Raw genomic sequence first — 17346 nt, 5'->3', positions numbered from 1 at the left:
TGGCATGGTCTTGGCTCACTGCAACCTCCGCCTCCCAGGTTCAAGCAATTCTCCTGCCTCAGCCTCCCGAGTAGCTGGGACTACAGGCGAGTGCCACCACACCCGGCTAATTTTTGTATTTTTAGTAGAGATGGGGTTTTACCATGTTGGCCAGGCTGGTCTTGAACTCCTGACCTCATGATATGCCACCTCAGCCTCCCAAAGTGCTGGGATTACAGGCGTGAGCCACCACGCCTGGCTCCACTACTACTCTTAATAATTCTAATGGGTTCAGAAAATCTTTAGATTTTAAAAAAGTATTGTTAGTTTAATAGTTTATGGTACAATAGTTAAATAATATGGGAGAATATAAAATAAAGCTCTCCCTCCCCTCCTTGGGCCCTTAGTTCTATTGACTGGAGGTGTCCACTTAAATTTCTTCTAGGCTGGGCACGGTGGCTCATGCCAGTAATCCCAGCACTTTGGGAGGCCGAGGCGAGTGGATCATGAGGTTAGGAGTTCAAGACCAGCCTAGCCAAGATGGTGAAACCCCGTCTCTACTAAAAATACAAAAAGCCAGGTGTGGTGGTGAGCACCTATAATCCCAGCTACTCGGGAGGCTGAGGCAGAGTATTGCTTGAACCGGGGAGGTGATAGTTACAATGAGCCGAGATTGTACCACTGCACTCCATCTCAAAAAAAAAAAAAAAAATTTCTTCTAGAAGTTGCCTATGCGTATTCAAAAGTGTGTATAATCTTTTTTAACCCAAGTAGGATTATGTTGTACATATATTCCTGCAGTGTGCTTATTTTGGTAACATAGACATCTTTATCAGCAGGTGTGGACCTAGTCGGAAAGGCTGCATAGTATCCATTGTCTAGCTGAACATAATTAGTTAACCAGTCCTCTCTGGATGGCCATTTAGATAGTTTCCTGCCTTGGGGGCATGTGTGTGTGTGTGTTGATTTTTATGGTTTTGTTTTTTGCTGCTACACGTGGCTCTATAGGGACTTTTGTTGAGCACATTATCTTTGTGAACCTGTGTGAGTATATCTGCAGGATCCATCCCCGGAACTGGCATTGCTGGGCCCAAGGCAGGTACATTTTCTTTTTCTTTGTTGGCTATGGTTTCACACCTTTTTTCTGCATACCTTCTGGGCTTGTGCAGAGCCTGGGAGGCCTGAGGTGGACCAGACCCTTCTCGAGACCTACATATAAGCAGACAGGTAATGAACACGCCCTCAATGCATGGACATAGTCTTTCACTGGTGGCTGCTGGCCCTCGTGATCTGCCGTGTCCAGCTCTTGGTGATTCAGAGCAGGTGAAGCCAACAGAGGGGCACTCTGAAGGGATCGCCTGCTCTTGGCTTTTCTAATCATACCAGGCAGCCTGTTGCCCCTCTGAGCAGCCATAGCCCTCAACATTCAGTCAAACTTCAGAAAGTGAATTGTATTGCTCGCTGTCAAAGTCGTGAATTTTTTTTTTTTTTTGAGATGGAGTTTTGCTCTTGTTGCCCAGGCTGGAGTGCAATGGCGCGATCTCAGCGCACTGCAGCCTACGCCTCTGGGGTTCAAATGATTCTCCTGCCTCAGCCTCCCTAGTCACTGGGATTATAGGCAAGCACCACCACGCCCAGCTAATTTTTGTTATTTTTAGTAGAGACAGGGTTTTGCCATGTTGGCCAGGCTGGTCTCAAACTCCTGACCTCAGGTGATCCACCCGCCTCAGCCTCCCAAAGTGCTGGGATTACAGGCGTGAGCCACCGCGCCTGGCCTAAAGTTATGAAATTTAATTTAATTTTTAACAGAGGCAGTTAAGGAAAGGCAGTTTGCTGGCCCCAGTCCAGACTGCCTTTCTCACAGGATAATTGTGGTGATTTTTGCTGTTGAAAACAGTATAAAGAGAAGCGCAGCACCTAGGTCTGGCCTGGCTGGGCTTTCCTCTCTATCACTCTGGAAATCTGGGATAGAAAGAAGGAAACATAACATTTCTCTTTTTTTTTTTTTGAGACAGAGTCTCGCTCTGTCACCCAGGCTGGAGTGCAGTGGCATGATCTCGGCTCACTGCAGCCTCCACCTCCTGGGTTCAAGCGATTCTCCTGCCTCAGCCTCCTGAGTAGCTGGGATTATAGGCACCCACCACCATGCCCAGCTAATTTTTGTATTTTTAGTAGAAATGGGGTTTCACCGTGTTGGCCATGCTGGTCTCAAACTCCTGACCTCAGGTGATCAACCTGCCTCGGCCTCCTAAAGTGCTGGGATGATAGACGTGAGCCATCACACCTGGCCAGGAAACGTAACATTTCTAAGTTAAGCGTCTAGTGCCTCCTATGTACTGGGCCCTGGCAATCCTGAAGGGAACCCTTTTTGGGAGTAGCGCTGTCCCTGTCCTCCAGATGAGAAGACTGCAGAGCAGAGAAGCATGTGTCCAGGTCACACAGTGGACAGAATGGTGGCTTTTAGAATCAACCAGTTGTTCTGCGGTTGCTTGCTGCTTTCTCCTTGCCTGATTTGGGCTATCATGGGTGGTAAGAACTTGAACTCCACATGGGACCCCATGGCAGGCCTTATTCCAGGACTGAGTCACTGCACAAAGCAACAACTGATGGTTGGAGCTGAAGGGACTCTTAGTCACATGCCCATGCCAGGACCTCCCTTGTTGCAATCTCCTCTTCTAGTCCAAATGAGCCAGAGCAGGCCAGTATGACAGGGAAGACCTGCCAGTGACTCAGTCTGCCGTCACTGCGCATGGCAGAAGGCACCCTGAAGAGCCAAGGGGCCACCGCAAACATCCCTAAGCCAGGGTGCTTGGCTGCTTTCCCAGGCTACCTCTCTGGATGGAGAGGCCAAGCCAGTACGGCCCAGAGAAAGAGCTTGTAAGTCTGTCCCTTCCTCCTCTGACACCCACACACAGTGACAGATTATTTGTTGTCACATCAGCTGCTTCCGGAGGCCCTTGGGAGGGGAGAGCTGGTGGCAGGGCTGGCAATGCTGCCCTGGATTCTGCTCTGGTGGCTCTCAGTGTGACTGCTGGTGAAGCCCTTTGCTCCCAGGAGCAGCCGGTCTGGTTCAGGGCTATGGGGACCGGTCTCTAACTCCATGTATTTTTTCCCCAGGAGAGCCTGCAGAGAAAGCTTCTCTCTACCTCTGTGTGCACAGCCCTGAGACTTTTCTTCCAGAATTTCTCTGGGATGCACCCCCTTGGCCAGGGGCCTTTAGCTTCTAGGCTTTCTTTGCAGCCTCCAAAGGAGGTCACAGAAAAGCCCAGTGGGGACTTCCTCGGGGCAGTGGGGTGAGGAGGGATGTCACTGATTACGCAGTCTCCTTATGTGGGGCTAACTCATGAACCTTGCTTCCTGGAGGAGACTAGAGCTAGGTCACCAAGCTGCAGACCCTGGACTTTCAGGCCCTGCCTGGCCCCCAGGCCTGCTGTGCTCAGCACATTGGAGTCCTGCTGAGGAAAGGCAGCGGTGGCAGAGGATGTGCTGGGGGAGCAGGCTGGGCGCAGGGCCCTCTTGCTGACCGCCCCTCCCACTTCCCACTGGGCTGAGTCACTTCCTCTCTGGCTGCAGCAGGTACTCTCCCACAGGCTGGGAGCAGAGCAGGCCTCAGGGGGTGGGGTCATCCTATACAAAGAGAGCTCTGGTTAGAAGCAGCCAGTTCACTTATAACCCCCAAGGCAATAAAGTGCAGCATTTGGAGATGTGATATTATGCATTAAATGATGTGATATTATGTATTCTTGACAAATTGGAGCTATACATGTCCTGCGTTTTAAAAATGAACAAAATCATCGCTCTGTTTTGGAGCAGTGAAGATGACAGCACATGCATGAATCTTTGTCGTCAGGGAGTCCTGGCTGAAATCGAGGGATTACTAATCCTCCTCTCTATCCGCCTCCCCAGCCTGTCAGCATCTGTCCTGAGCACAAAGCAAATGGCTTCCAATGGGTTCCTAAGGAGATTGCTCATAGCCACCAAGCTCCCGGGGAGAGGGTGCATGCCTTCTTCAGGGATGGCTGTCATTCAGACTCAGTGGAAAAGCCCTCACCAGAGCCTCAACCTGGGCCACAGTCTTTAGGCTTTGCTTTTTCAATAATAGAAGGGGAGAATCCACATCAGAAAGTGGTGCGAGTTAAAGAGAGAATCTGGGAAACACTGGGAATGGTTTCTGGCAAGCGGTGGGTGCCCATCAAATGATAATGAAAAAAAGACATACCTGCAGAGACTTGCCACAGGGAAGCGGCCTCAGCACGGAGCAGGGAGCACCCACCCTTCACCCAGCAAAGACCTGGTGACACCGCCAGCCACAGCATCATTCAGCTGTCCTGTGAAGGCATATTACCATCTCTGTTTTACAGATGAGGAAACTGAGGCCCCTGAAGGGTAGGTGACTAGTGTAGAGTCACAAAATAAGTGAGTGTCAGAAGTTGAAATTTGAGCCCGGACCTCCATGACCCCCAAATCCATCTTGCTATCCCAGTTGGCATTTGCGTAACTTGTCCATGGCTTGAAACCCTTGGTTCTCTGAGCTGTGAATTCCTCTGGGTTTCCTGGACTGCCTTTGTGGATGGAGAGCAGGTCTGTAGGTATCCCTGGTAGAAGCATCTACATGTGAGTATTAAGTGCATCAGGGGTGGCGCCCAGAGTGTTTGTGTCAGGGAAGGGTGGGGGATGCTGCCTGTTGGCTGGTGGAGGGATATCTCAGTAACCCACCTCTGACTCAGCCCTTTTCTCCAGAGAGGCCCCGCTCGGCAGCCCCTGAAATGCCTCATTCTGAGGGAAGCATGACCTCTCTCCCTCCCTGCTCACCTGCAGCTTTCTGGCTTGACAGCACCCTGGTTCCAGGAGAATGATTGTTTATAAGTAAGTCTGTGCTTGGCATGCCTGGAACCATGCAGACATTGGGTGGAGAAGGGGCAGTTGAGGAAGCAGTGCAGTCAGGGAAAAAGAATATGGGATTCAGCATTGAAAAAGCTGTGTTTATATCCCACCTCTTCCAACAGCTAGCCAGGTGACTTCAGGCAGCTCTGAGTCTCAATTTCTTTTTTCTTTTTCTTTCTTTCTTTTTTTTTTTTTTTTTTTTTTTTTGAGACAAGGTCTCACTCTGTCCCCCAGGCTAGAGTGGTGCTGTCATGGCTCACGCAGCCTCAAACTCCTGCGCTCAAGCAGTCCTCCAAACTAAGCAAGCTAAAACTCCCAAGTAGCTGGGTCTACCAGCTGTGCCAGCTTTGAACTCCTGGGCTCAAGTGATCCTCCCACCTCAGCCTCCCAAAATGCTGGGGTAACAGGCATGAGCCACCGTGCCCGGGCTCAATTTCTTTTTCTAGAAAATTTTGTGTTGTGTGTGTGTGTTGTGGGGAGGTGATCAGTTATCATTATGTACCAGCCCTCCACATCCGTGGGTTCTACGTCTGTGGATTCAACCAACTGCGGATCAAAAATGTTCAGGAACAAAGAAGGATGCTTGTGTCTGGACTAAACATGTACAGACATTTTTTTCTTTCTTTCTTTTTTTGAGACGGAGTCTTGCTCTGTCACCCAGGCTGGAGTGCAGTGGCGTGATCTCGGCTCACTGCAACCTTCACCTCCAGGTTCAAGCAATTCTCCTGCCTCAGCCTCCCAAGTAGCTGGGACTACAGGCAAACACTGCCACGCCCTGCTAATTTTTTTGTATTTTTGGTAGAGATGGGGTTTCACCATGTTGGCCAGGCTGGTCTCGAACTCCTGACCTCAGGTGATTTGCCCGCCTCGGCCTCCTAAAGTGCTGGGATTACAGGTTTGAGCCACCGCACGCAGTCCTTTTTTTTTTTTTTTTTTTTTTTTTTTGGAGACAGGGTCTTGCTCTGTCACGCAGGCTGGAGTACAGTGGCAGGATCACATGATCTGTGATTACACAGGCATGACCCATGGCACCCAGCCAGACTGTTTTTTCTTGTCATTATTTCTTTTTTTTGAGATGGAGTCTCGCTCTGTCACCCAGGCTGGAGTGCAGTGGTGCAATCTGATCTCGGCCCACTGCAAGCTCCGCCTCCTGGGTTCACGCCATTCTCCTGCCTCAGCCTCCCGAGTAGCTGGCACTACAGGCGCCCACCAGCACGCCCGGCTAATTTTTTGTATTTTTAGTAGAAGCGGGGTTTCACCATGTTAGCCAGGATGGTCTCGATCTCCTGACCTCATGATCCACCCGCCTCAGCCTCCCAAAGTGCTGGGATTACAGGCGTGAGCCACCACGCCCGGCCCTTCTTGTCATTATTTCTTAATACAGTATAGTAACTACACAGCATTTCCGTTGCATTAGGTATTATAAATCTAGAGATGATTTAAAGTATATGGGGCTGGGTGTGGTGGCTCACGCCTGTAATCCCAGCACTTTGGGAGGCCCAGGTGGACAGATCACTTGAGGTCCAGGAGTTCTGAGAACAGCCTGGTCAATATGGTGAAACCCTATCTCTACTAAAAATACAAAAATTAACTTGGCATGGTGGCATGCACGTGTAATCCCAGCTACTCAGGAGCCTGGGGCATGAGAACCACTTGAACCCAGGAGGCGGAGGTTGCAGTGAGCCGACATCTTGCCACTGCACTCCAGCCTGGGTGACAGAGCAAGACTCCATCAAAAAAAAAAAAAAAAGTGTAGTACGGGAGTATATGCACAGGTTATATGCAAATACTACATTATCTTATATTAGGGACTTGAGCACCCTTGGATTTTGGTATCTGTCAGAGGTCCTGGAACCAATCCCCCATGGATATTGAGGGATCATTATATTCACAAATGCTTTGTAAACTATAAAGCCATGTGTAAAAATTAGTTCTGATAGTTAATCTGAGAGTGTGAGCCGCCCTTGCAGGTTTTAAGTCTGAAATTCACCACCCAGAGAGGTGCGCAGGAATCTACAAGAGACCTGGCAGCCACCTAGTGTGCACGGGTGGTCTGCAGAGCGTGGGTGGTGACCTCAGTTGCATCGCGCATTCAGATTTCACATCACTCACCTAGAGTGTTGTCATTTCACCCCAGGTGTAGTCAGATAAATGCATGGTTAGGCCAGAAGTTCTCTTTTCAGAGAAGCGCAAGTGGTTGGAATTTTTCTGACCAGCAGAAGGACTTTCACACCACAAACCTGGAGTGGCCTGGAGGACCTGTCACCAGTGTGAAGGGACAGGCCAGGCTGCCACTCACACACTCCCCACATCTTGCCGCAGGAAAGCAGATCGTTTGGCTGGATTTGGGGGATTCTCCCGCACAGGGCCTGGTCCATCCCTTCATCAGTGAGGGCTTCTGCACAGCTGCAGGCATGTTATGAACAGTTTTAATTCTTCAGTAGGGGTTGCTCTCCAGCAGCAAATGCTGTCTAAGCAAAACCCCCGGTAATCAGCCAGCCTAGTCCCCATTCTGCCTCATGCATTTCTGACATGGGACTTTTCCTGGACAGACTATCCAGTGCAGCCCCAGTTACCTACAGCTGTGGCACCCTGTCTCCAGCCATGACTTGGCAGATACTGGCTAGTCTGACCATCTGTACTTTCTTCAGGGTCCCACTCCAGCCACTGGCCCCTCCTTGGACAGAGTTTTCCTGTGAATCACACCTTGTACCTCTTTATTCAACTGCCTCTGTCTCCTGCCCCAGCAGGGACCATGGTGCCTTATAGATGCCCAGCAAACAGCCCCACACTGTGTTCTCTTCCAGCTTTGCGCCAGGCAGTGGGCTGGGTGCAGGGAGGCAGCGGTGGATTGGAGTTGCTCCCTCAAGGGAGCCCACAGCCTGAGATGGGGGAGTCAGACAGATAAACCAATGGTTGCAGCACAGTGGGAGGGGACGGAGGTGTACTCAGGTGCTCTGGGGGTTGGAGGAGGAGCAGCCAGCTTTGGCAGGAGGCCTTCTGTGAAGACTTTCTGCAGCAGGTGACATTTCAGTGAGGACCAAGGGAGAAGGATGTGCCAACCAGGGAGAGTTGGGCGGGGCAGGGGTGTTCATGGCATACTCGGGATTGTGTCATTTGGTGTGGCTGGATTTAGGGTGCATATAAAGGCAGTGAGGCTGGAGAAGTATTCTAGGTCTGCTTAGGCTCACTGAGGAATTGGGGTTCTTCCTGAAGAGCATGGAGCCCTTGGAGGACCTCCACAGCAGGCAGAGAGACGGCAGCCTCCTGGGATCTGATTGCCCAGCCCCACTTACACAGGTGGCTGAGGTGAGCTCTTCCCATGGAGTGCATCCTTCCTGATCAGCCTGAGGAGAGCAGGGCCCCACCATCCTGCACCTGGTGCAGAAAAACCCTGTGAAGCTGCACTACAGAAAGACACCACCAGGTGGCAGGCCTGGAGATTGCATGGAGGCCCCGCCCCCCCAACCAATTCTTTGATAATAGCACAGTGTTGAAGAGAGGGGGCCATAAAAGACTGAATTCCTGTTCATGCCAGGCTGGCTCTGCCCAACATATATGAGACTGCAAGTTCTGCCACTGTGGGCTGTGTACCCACAAGCCACAGGTCCCTCTGAACCTGTGAATCAGGTCTTGGGAGCTATTCGAGCAGGCTGGATTTTCTCCTCTGCCTCGGGGGACCTGAGAGTAAGTTACAGACTTCATGACCCTTCACCCCAAAACACTTGAGTATGTATCACCTAAGAACAAGGGCATTCTCCTGTAGAACCACAATGCAATTTGCAAGTTCAGGAAATTTAACTGATACAATACTATTATCTAATAAACAGTCTATATTCAGATTTTACCAGTTGTCCAATCATGTCTTTTATACCTTTTTTCTCCCAGATCACCCATTGTATTTCTTTGTTGTATGTCTTTAGTCTCCTTTAATCTAGAATCATTCTTCAGCTTTTCTTTAACTGTCTGACATGGATGTTTTTGAAACATACAGGCCTATTGTGAATGTCCTTCAATTTGGGTTTGTTTCATGATTAGATTCAAATTATACATTTTTGGAAAAAAAAATAGCATGAGTAGATTGGGGGTGGTGGCTCACGCCTGTAATCCTAGCACTTTGGGAGGCCAAGGTGGAAGGATCACTTTAGCCCAGGAGTTCGAGACCAGCCTATGCAACATAGCAAGACCTCCTCTCTACAAAACATTTTAAAAATTAGCCAGGTATGGTAATGTGTGCCAGTAGTCTCAGCTACCCAGGAGGCTGAGGTGGGAGAATCACTTGGGCCTGGCAGGTGGAAGCTGCACTCCAGTCTGGGTGACAGAGCAAGACCCTGTCTCGAAAAAAAATATATATATAGCATGAGTAGTACATGTTTATTAAGGGCATCATGTTAGGAGGTGTGTGATGCCAGTTTGTTCTGTTATTGGTGATAGTAACTTTGACCAGTTGGTTAAGATTGCAGCTTGCCTTTTAAAAAATATAGGTATATTTACACACAGTGATTTCACATGTCTTTTAACTGTGCTGTTCAATTGTTTTGACCAGTGCACACACCCAGAAGCTATGTCCTTCGGCAGTAAAAGTTTTACAGCACAATATATGTGCTCTGCTCTCCTCCCGCAATCCTGCTCCAAGAGATCTTAAGCTGGAGGCACCAGGTCTGAATTCCAGACTCCTCCCCACCACCCACACTTCACCTCCAACTGGAGCATGACCACAGACCCATTCAGGGAGGCTGGCGGACTCTTCATCCTGGACAGTCCCTTACTGTATGTCAAGTAGGTAATTGCCAGCATGTGTGCGCTCCTATGTGGCTGCCTGTGGGGATGCTTCTCAGTGTAGAGTGGGGGACCCTCCATGCCTTGGCCAGGCTTCAGCTCCTTTGTAGTTGGGTAGACATGAGGACAGACTGAGCTGGGGAGATCAGTGGTGGCGTTTCATCTGCTCAGTGCCATCTTTGTACCCCTCATCCCTATGGAGATTGGTGTGTCTACCAGGTGGAACCATGGGGTAGAGCTATCCCTGCCAGCTTTCCTGGACCTGGTCACACTATACCACTGGACTCCGGGCATCTTCAGCCTTGGAACCCTTATGTGGCTCTGATGGCTTGGCTTTCACTGCCTTGCTGGGAGATCTGGGCTCACGTTGCCTGGTAGCTTTAGGGTGAGATGACTTTAGCCCCAAATTGACAGAGTAAGATCAGGTACCCCCTACTCAGGCCACGCAGTGGGAGCTGTCCCACAGGTGAGGCCCTCTCACACTGAGGCCCACAGTTGCTCCCCAGGCTTGGCAAAGCAATGGAACCCCCTGCTTTCAGAATCAGGCACAGCTACAGCCTGCGGACGGCGGAGTGCCAGCTGGGCTCTCTTGCTCTTTCCTGGCCTCCTCCCCTCACCCTCATTGTTGCCTCTCTGAGCTTCCTGTTGAGTTCAGGTTCTAAGGGGACTGGTGCTGACTTGTGAGGATAGAATGTAGAAGAGTTGGCCAGGTGTGGTGGCTCATGTCTGTAATCCCAGCACTTTGGGAGGCCAAGGCAGGCGGATTACCTAAGGTCAGGAGTTCAAGACCAGCCTGGCCAACATGGTGAAACCCTGTCTCTACTAAAAATACAAAAAAAAAAAAAAAAAATTAGCTGGGTGTGGTGGTAGATGCCTGTAATCTCAGGTACTTGGGAGGCTGAAGCAGAAGAATCACTTGAGCCCGGGAGGCAGAGGTTGCAGTGAGCAGAGATTGCGCCATTGCACTCCAGCCTGGGCAACAGAGCAAGACTCTGTCTCAAAAAAAAAAAAAAAAGAAGAAGAAGAATGTAGAAGAGTTAACAGATTCAAAGCTCCGGAGACTGCTAAGCAAGGACTGTTGAGTTCCTGGGGCACCGAGTAGTGGACCATGCACCCCAGCCTGAGGACCAGGTGTCTGGGGGGACCTGGGCTCCCAGTCTTCCTGAGACCAGAGTAGCTGGGGCATCATCACAGATCTCACTGTGAAGCCGGGATCCCTCTGAGCAGGCCCTCTAGAGGAGTGTTTGTGGACCACTTGCAGGCGTGTCTCTGGAGGGACGCACAGCCAGATGATTGGAGGATGGGGCAGGGAAAGGGGGGTCTGTCCCTGGGAGCTGTGTCTTTGCTCACCCTACTAGTAAGCCTGCAGCAGCTTCCGGTTTTCTGGGCCTGCCTCTTCATGACGCTTCCTTTGCTTCAGTCAACTCTGGGTAGCATGAAGGGGTGGCAGGAAGGGAGGCAGCCTTGCTCCCTCTTCCCCCACAAGCATCTTTTTCATCTCCCTGCGCGTCTGTTGCCATCCTTCTGTCGGCCTGTGTCTTGGAGCAGTTCCCACGCCATTTGCTTGAGTCGAATCCTGAGATGGGGGAGGGGCGGGTCAGGCTGAGCCCACTGATTGTCTGTGCTGCAGCTGCTCCCTGCAAACTGTTGTCTAGACCATGCCTGTGCGTAGGCGCGTAGGCAGCGTCTACACAGATGTTACGCGCCTCCATGGTGGTCTCCAGGGACCTGGGAAAGAAAGAGGTGGCTTACTGCTCCCGGGAAGACAGAGAACAGGATCAGAAGGGTGGTGATACCAACTTACTATTGGAGGCAGTGGGCAGCGCAGGACAGGCCCAGGGCCGCCGACCCTGGCAATGACTGTCACCAGCTGGAGGGAAGGTATCCGTTCACTCATGGAGTATCTGCTGGGCCTGGCAGTGGGCTGCAGTGGTTTTATATATATGTTTATACATTTGTTTTTCCTTGTGAAATTTTTAGTTGTGGTGGAATTTTTCTGGTGGAGGGGGGCAGACATTAAGCATATAAACACAAATAAATACATAGTTACAAAATCTGGAAAGTACTATGGAGGAAAATTACAGACCACCATGAGTGAGACTAACTGGGACCCACTGGTCATGAGGTTATCAAGGAAGACTTCTCTGAGGAAGTGATACTTAGATTGAGAAGGATGCGTAGGAGTTAGGCAAGCAAAGAGCAGGAACACAGTGCCAGACACATTACTGCCCAGCTTTTAAAGATATTTCTAGAAGCAGTTTTACCCTTCTCTGCTTTTATGTGAATGACACTGAATCTGCTTCCAGCATGAGCCTCTTTGGCAGAAGGCCCAGCCAAGCCTAACTGTGGCTTCTGCTCCATCTGGGGACTGTTGGGGCTCAGTGAGTTACACAATCCTAGTTATTCTCAAAATTAAGTCATGGCTGTGCTCCCCAGTGGCACAGCTCTGAAAACAAATTGGGAGCCTGGTAGATTAGACCTGCAGTGCAATGGATCATCCCTCTTACTTTCTGGTGCACCACATATAGTCAGTCTCCTAGGGTTTAGAATAAGGGCCAAAACAGGCCGGGCGCGGTGCTCATGCCTGTAATCCCAACACTTTGGGAGGCCGAGGCGGGCGTATCGCCTGAGGTCGGGAGTTCGAGACCAGCCTGACCAACATGGAAGAACCCCATCTCTACTAAAAATACAAAATTAGGTGGGTGTGGTGGCACATGCCTGTAATCCCAGCTACTTGGGAGGCTGAGCAGGAGAATCACTTGAACCTGGGAGGCGGAGGTTGCGGTGAGCCAAGATCATGCCATTGCACTCCAGCCTGGGCAACAAGAGCGAGACTCCGTCTCAAAAAAAAAAAAAAAAAAAAGAATAAGGACCAAAACAATAGCATGTGAGGATTTCACCTTACTGGTGAAGACACACCTGTCCTCAGAGTAGGAGACGGCTTCCAGGAGTATCAGCAAAAACAAACTAAAGGAAAAGACAGAAATATTTAACTACATAAAAAGTCAACCTTATTTTTAATTTTAATTTAAAAAATGTAAATGTTATATTAATTTTATTGAGATGGGTCTCGCAACGTTGCCCAGGCTGGTCTCGAACTCCTGGGCTCAAGCAATCCTCCCGCCTCAGCCTCCCAAAGTGCTGGGATTACAGGCATGAGCCACCGCACCCAGCCCTTAACCATTTCTTTTTATTTTTTTAATTAAAAAAAAAAGATGAAAAAGCTATATGTCAGTTACATCCTTACATAGAAAGAGTTTCTAAAAATCAGTAACACTAATACATAGCAGTAAAAAATAGAAAAAGAATATAAAGGAAATTCATAAAAGAAATAATAGACACAGCCAGTAAGCATATGAAACAAATTCAACCTCAGAAATAATGAAAGAATTACGGATTTTAAAATGCTATGCTTTTTGTTGGCCACCCAATTAGCCATTTATAAGAGTAAGGAAATAACTCAGTCCTGGTGTAAGTTCTGGAACTCACTGGACTGTAAATTGGCACAGCCATCCTGGAAGCAGCCTGGCAGCATCTGTCAAATACCTTAAAAACATGTCCCCCTTGTATTAGCCTAATGGGGATTTTTTTTAAATGTGCCCCACTTGACTCTGCAATTCTGCTTCTTGGAATTTATCCAGAGGGAGACAGATAAGTATGACAAGATGTATATTTTTGTTGTTGTTGTTGTTTTTTCTTTTGAGACGGAGTCTTGCTCTGTCACCCAGGCTGGAGTACAGTGGTGCGATCTCAGCTCACTGCAAGCTCCGCCTCCTGGGTTCACACTATTCTCCTGCCTCAGCCTCCCGAGTAGCTGGGACTACAGGTGCCCACCACCACACCCGGCTAATTTTTTGTATTTTTAGTAGAGACAGGGTTTCACCGTGTTAACCAGGATGGTCTCGATCTCCTGACCTCGTGATCTTCCCTCCTTGGCCTCCCAAAGTGCTGGGATTACAGGTGTGAGCCACCGCGCTTGGCTGACAAGATGTATACTTGTATGTGCGTGACTATTAATTCTTTTTTTTTTTTTTTTTGAGACAGAGTCTCACTCTGTCACCCAGGCTGGAGTGCAGTGGTGTGATCTGGGCTCACTGCAAGCTCCGCCTCCCAGGTTCACACTATTCTCCTGCCTCAGCCTTCCAAGTAGCTGGGACTACAGGGGCCCGCCACCATGCTCAGCTAATTTTTTTTTTTTTTTGTATTTTTAGTAGAGACGGGGTTTCACAGTGTTAGCCAGGATGGTCTCGCTCTCCTGACCTGGTGATCCGCCCGCTTCGGCCTCCCAAAGTGCTGGTATTACAGGCGTGAGCCACTGCGCCCGGCTAATTCTTTTTAAATGGAAAGAACCTAGATGTCCATAAATAGGGAATGGTCAGAGAAATCACTGTATATTTGTACCAAGGAGCCTGTGTAGCTATCTCAAGTGATGTTGCAAAAGAATATTGTGATGCAGGGATGTTAATGGGTTTTTGTTTTGTTTTTTACAGCTTTATTGAGATGTATTTCACATACTATACAATTTATCCTTAATGGTTTTTGTTTGTTTTAAGATGGAGTCTTGCTGTGTCCCCTAGGCTGGAGTACAATGGCGCCATCTCAGCTCATGCAACCTCCGCCTCCCCAGTTCAAGCGATTTTCCTGCCTCAGCCTCCCGAGACAGGCGCCCACCATCATGCCCAGCTAATTTTTTTTTTGAGACAGAGTCTTACTCTGTTGCCCAGGCTGAAGTGCAGTGGCGTGATCTCAGCTCACTGTAGACTCCGTGTCCTGGGTTCAAGCGATTCTCGTGCCTCAGCCACCAAGTAGGTGGGATTACAGGTGTGCACCACCAGGACCAGCTAATTTCTGTATTTTTAGTAGAGACGGGGTTTCACCATGTTGGCCAGGCTGGCCTTGAACTCCTGACTTCAGGTGATCCACCCACCTCGGCCTCCCTAAGTGTTGGGATTAAAAGCATGGAGTCAATGCGCCAGACCTCCCTTAATGTATTTTAGGTGGGAAAAAAGGAAACATAAAATAGCATTACAGTGTGGTCCACATGTTTGTAATAATAAAACTTTATATAAGCATACACACAGTCACACACAGGAAAAACATGCTTGAATGTTAACAGCAGTTATATCTGGGAGGTAAGGTCATGGGTACCTTATTTTCTTATTTTTGCACATGCGTATTTTCTAATGTTTCTGCAGAGAACATCAGTTACTTTTATATGAAGAAAAATACAGGAACAGGCTGGAGTTCTGTGTTTTTGAGTCCATTATGGAAGGGTAAAGGCTACACTCCTAAGGTGGGTGTCAGGCCTCTATCCTGGGCCACCTCTCACCACTCCCTGCCTCGCGTTGGATGCTTCAGCAACACAAACTACCTGGCGTTGGTGGCTTGCATGCCATTTCTTACCTGGGCATGTTTGCTCACTGAGGCCCTCCTACCATGAAGGTCCTTGCCCCTTGCCTGGCCCACTCCTGTATCCTTAGGGAAATTTTCCCGGAGCCCTGCACCCACACTGGGCATCCTGTGACCCTGACCTTCCCCATGTGGAACTCGTCTGTACACATCTGTTTCCTTGTCCCCCCCGGATCCTGCTTTGCCAAGGTGTTTGACTTTGGAGAGCTGGAAGAGACAACTCCTCTTTTGTGTTTTTATCTGTTATTTTTAAATCTGTGTCCAGAGGTGTCTTTTAGCCTCTGGCCCCAATGTCCGCCTTTCATTTTTACGCAGGAGGATCTCGGGATTATCAGGCAAATCAGAGTGCTCAGTGATCTTCAGTAGTGTTCTTTAACTGACTCTTAAATACACAATGAATTTTCTTTTTCTGAAAAGTAATTCAGGAAAAGTTTGAGTTTATGAGGGAAGAGAAAGTAAACCCTGCCATTGACAACTTTGGGGGGTTCTTTCATCTGAGAGGACCAGAGAGTCAAGGAAAGATGGGGAGAGGGGTTCTCAGGGCTGTAGTCATCAAACTCCGTGGGCATAAGAAGCCCCCAGGCCTCGTGTAACAAGCATCCCATTCCTGGGGCCCACTGTCCAGATACGGGCCAGGAATGGGCACCTCGGGTCATTAGGCTGTAGGTATTTGGAGGGCAGGTCTCACTTTGGGAACAGTTGCTCACCTCAGGGCTGGGGTTCAGCTGGATGGGGCTGGCTCTCCTCTCTGTCTCTGTGGTAGTCTCTTGGGGCTCTGTTTGGCATTAGCATCTGCACAAAGCCCAGTTTTCTCCTCTCTGAATTTAACTGGCCACTTGGTGGTGGTGTGTTGGCTCCCCGCCTCTGTACCCTGTATATGCTGCCTTAAAGGATGTCCACCTTTAGCATCTAATTAATCCCAAGTAAAGGAGCTGTGGTTCTTTGTCACTTGGAGCCTTGGATGCTCCCCTGGTAGCAGGAGGAGTTGGAGGCAGCAGCGGCAGCTGTGTGATGCATCCCAAGTCAAAGGCCTGCAGGCTGGGTTAGCATAAGGAAACTCGCTGACTTACTCAGTGAGAAGGGGTCTTTCTGTCTTGTCTAGAGCTGAGAATGAAGCGGAGAGCATCAGACAGAGGAGCTGGGGAAACGTCGGCCAGGGCCAAGGCTCTAGGAAGTGGGATTTCTGGAAATAATGCAAAGAGAGCTGGACCATTCATCCTTGGTAAGCCTCTGACCTTTGGGAAAAATGGGTGGGCTGGGAGGCAGGGGCAGGGCACATTGGCTCGCATGATCTGACCTACAGACATCAGAGTGAGGTGGCCCACCCACAGCAGTGTGTGGTCCTGCCCTGCCCCAGGCTTGGTCCCTAGCTTCACTACTTGAAACAGAATATGTTTATATCAGTGGAAGACCCAAGCCTTGGGTCACTCTGTACCAGGGGCTGTCAGTGTTTTAGCCATACCAGCCTTAGATCAGCCTTAGCCAATAGCTAGGCTCCGACTCTCCCCCCAGAGAATCCTATGTGTGCCCCTAGAATGGTGACGTGCTCACAGGAAGCACACCCATTAGAAGTCATTAGCTGCATTAGAACCCAAGCTCTGGCCAGGTGCAATAGCTCACTTATGTAATCCCAGCACTTTTCGAGGCTGAGGTGAGAGGATCACTTGTGGCTAAGAGTTCAAGACTTTGCAAGCTTGGGCAACATAGTGAGATCCCATCTCTACTAGAAAAATATAAAAATTAATTGGGTGTGGTGTCACATGCCTGTAGTCCTAGCTACTTGGGAGGCTGAGGCAGGAGGATTACTTGAGCCCAGGAGTTTGAGGTTACAGTGAGTCGTGATCACGCCACTGCATTCCAGCCTAGGCAACGGTGCGAGACTCTCTCTCTAAAAAAATAAAATAAAATAAAATAAAATAAAATAAAATAAAATGAAAACCCAAGATCTATCATCCAAGGCACTGCTTTATGCCATTCTTGGATGGCATAATTTCACAAAGCATTTTGTATAGCCCCCCAAATTTATTTAAATTGGCACAGAAATCCTGGCACAGGTGTTGGCAGTTGGCCAGAGGAGCAGCAAAGCATTTCTGCATGATGCATAAGGACCAGCAGTCCAAATTGCTTATAGTCAGGGTTGCAGCCAGAGACTGGGCGTGAGTTTTACTTTGGGACAGCATTTTGGACTTACAGGCTCAGGATAGTTCCAGCTCCAGTCATTCAGTACATACTTAATGGTGTGTACCTACTACGTGCCAGGCCTGTGCTGTTTGCCAGGCCTGTGCTGTTTGCCAG

General features: G+C 49.3%; 1 protein-coding gene across 3 annotated transcripts in view, besides 6 other annotated features; it reads left to right on the top strand.

Moving 5' to 3' along the window:
* Window positions 1–17346, top strand: part of STK40 (serine/threonine kinase 40) — a 46297-nt gene that overhangs the window by 8431 nt on the left and 20520 nt on the right. For 2 of the 3 annotated variants that reach the window (NM_001282547.2, NM_001282546.2), the window contains exon 2: window positions 16154–16273. In NM_001282547.2, coding sequence (NP_001269476.1) covers window positions 16162–16273 — 112 coding nt within the window. In that variant the 5' untranslated portion in view covers window positions 16154–16161. Of the gene's footprint in view, window positions 1–9409; window positions 9647–16153; window positions 16274–17346 lie in introns of all 3 variants that reach the window. The other variant, NM_032017.3, reaches the window with a different exon arrangement.
* Window positions 2851–4050: an enhancer, noted in NCBI's record as "P300/CBP strongly-dependent group 1 enhancer chr1:36839045-36840244 (GRCh37/hg19 assembly coordinates)". NCBI's record gives its function as "activates an origin of replication core promoter dependent on BRD2, BRD4, P300/CBP, MED14 and CDK7 cofactors, with strong dependence on P300/CBP, by STARR-seq in HCT116 cells {active_cell/tissue: HCT116}" and the evidence as "EXISTENCE:reporter gene assay evidence [ECO:0000049][PMID:35650434]".
* Window positions 3392–3686: an enhancer, noted in NCBI's record as "tiled region #4421; HepG2 Activating DNase unmatched - State 1:Tss, and K562 Activating DNase matched - State 5:Enh". NCBI's record gives its function as "activates a minimal TATA promoter and a strong SV40 promoter by Sharpr-MPRA in HepG2 and K562 cells {active_cell/tissue: HepG2 | K562}" and the evidence as "EXISTENCE:reporter gene assay evidence [ECO:0000049][PMID:27701403]".
* Window positions 4287–4850: an enhancer, noted in NCBI's record as "H3K27ac-H3K4me1 hESC enhancer chr1:36838245-36838808 (GRCh37/hg19 assembly coordinates)". NCBI's record gives its function as "activates a minimal SCP1, AML or CMV promoter by ChIP-STARR-seq in primed H9 embryonic stem cells {active_cell/tissue: H9 hESC(primed)}" and the evidence as "EXISTENCE:reporter gene assay evidence [ECO:0000049][PMID:30033119]".
* Window positions 4851–5414: an enhancer, noted in NCBI's record as "H3K27ac-H3K4me1 hESC enhancer chr1:36837681-36838244 (GRCh37/hg19 assembly coordinates)". NCBI's record gives its function as "activates a minimal SCP1, AML or CMV promoter by ChIP-STARR-seq in primed H9 embryonic stem cells {active_cell/tissue: H9 hESC(primed)}" and the evidence as "EXISTENCE:reporter gene assay evidence [ECO:0000049][PMID:30033119]".
* Window positions 7064–7731: an enhancer, noted in NCBI's record as "H3K27ac-H3K4me1 hESC enhancer chr1:36835364-36836031 (GRCh37/hg19 assembly coordinates)". NCBI's record gives its function as "activates a minimal SCP1, AML or CMV promoter by ChIP-STARR-seq in primed H9 embryonic stem cells {active_cell/tissue: H9 hESC(primed)}" and the evidence as "EXISTENCE:reporter gene assay evidence [ECO:0000049][PMID:30033119]".
* Window positions 7732–8400: an enhancer, noted in NCBI's record as "H3K27ac-H3K4me1 hESC enhancer chr1:36834695-36835363 (GRCh37/hg19 assembly coordinates)". NCBI's record gives its function as "activates a minimal SCP1, AML or CMV promoter by ChIP-STARR-seq in primed H9 embryonic stem cells {active_cell/tissue: H9 hESC(primed)}" and the evidence as "EXISTENCE:reporter gene assay evidence [ECO:0000049][PMID:30033119]".

This window comes from Homo sapiens, chromosome 1 (genome assembly GCF_000001405.40).
Source record: "Homo sapiens chromosome 1, GRCh38.p14 Primary Assembly".
In the NCBI taxonomy this organism is placed as follows: Eukaryota; Metazoa; Chordata; class Mammalia; order Primates; family Hominidae; genus Homo; species Homo sapiens.
This window is presented reverse-complemented; position numbering and strand designations above follow the sequence as displayed.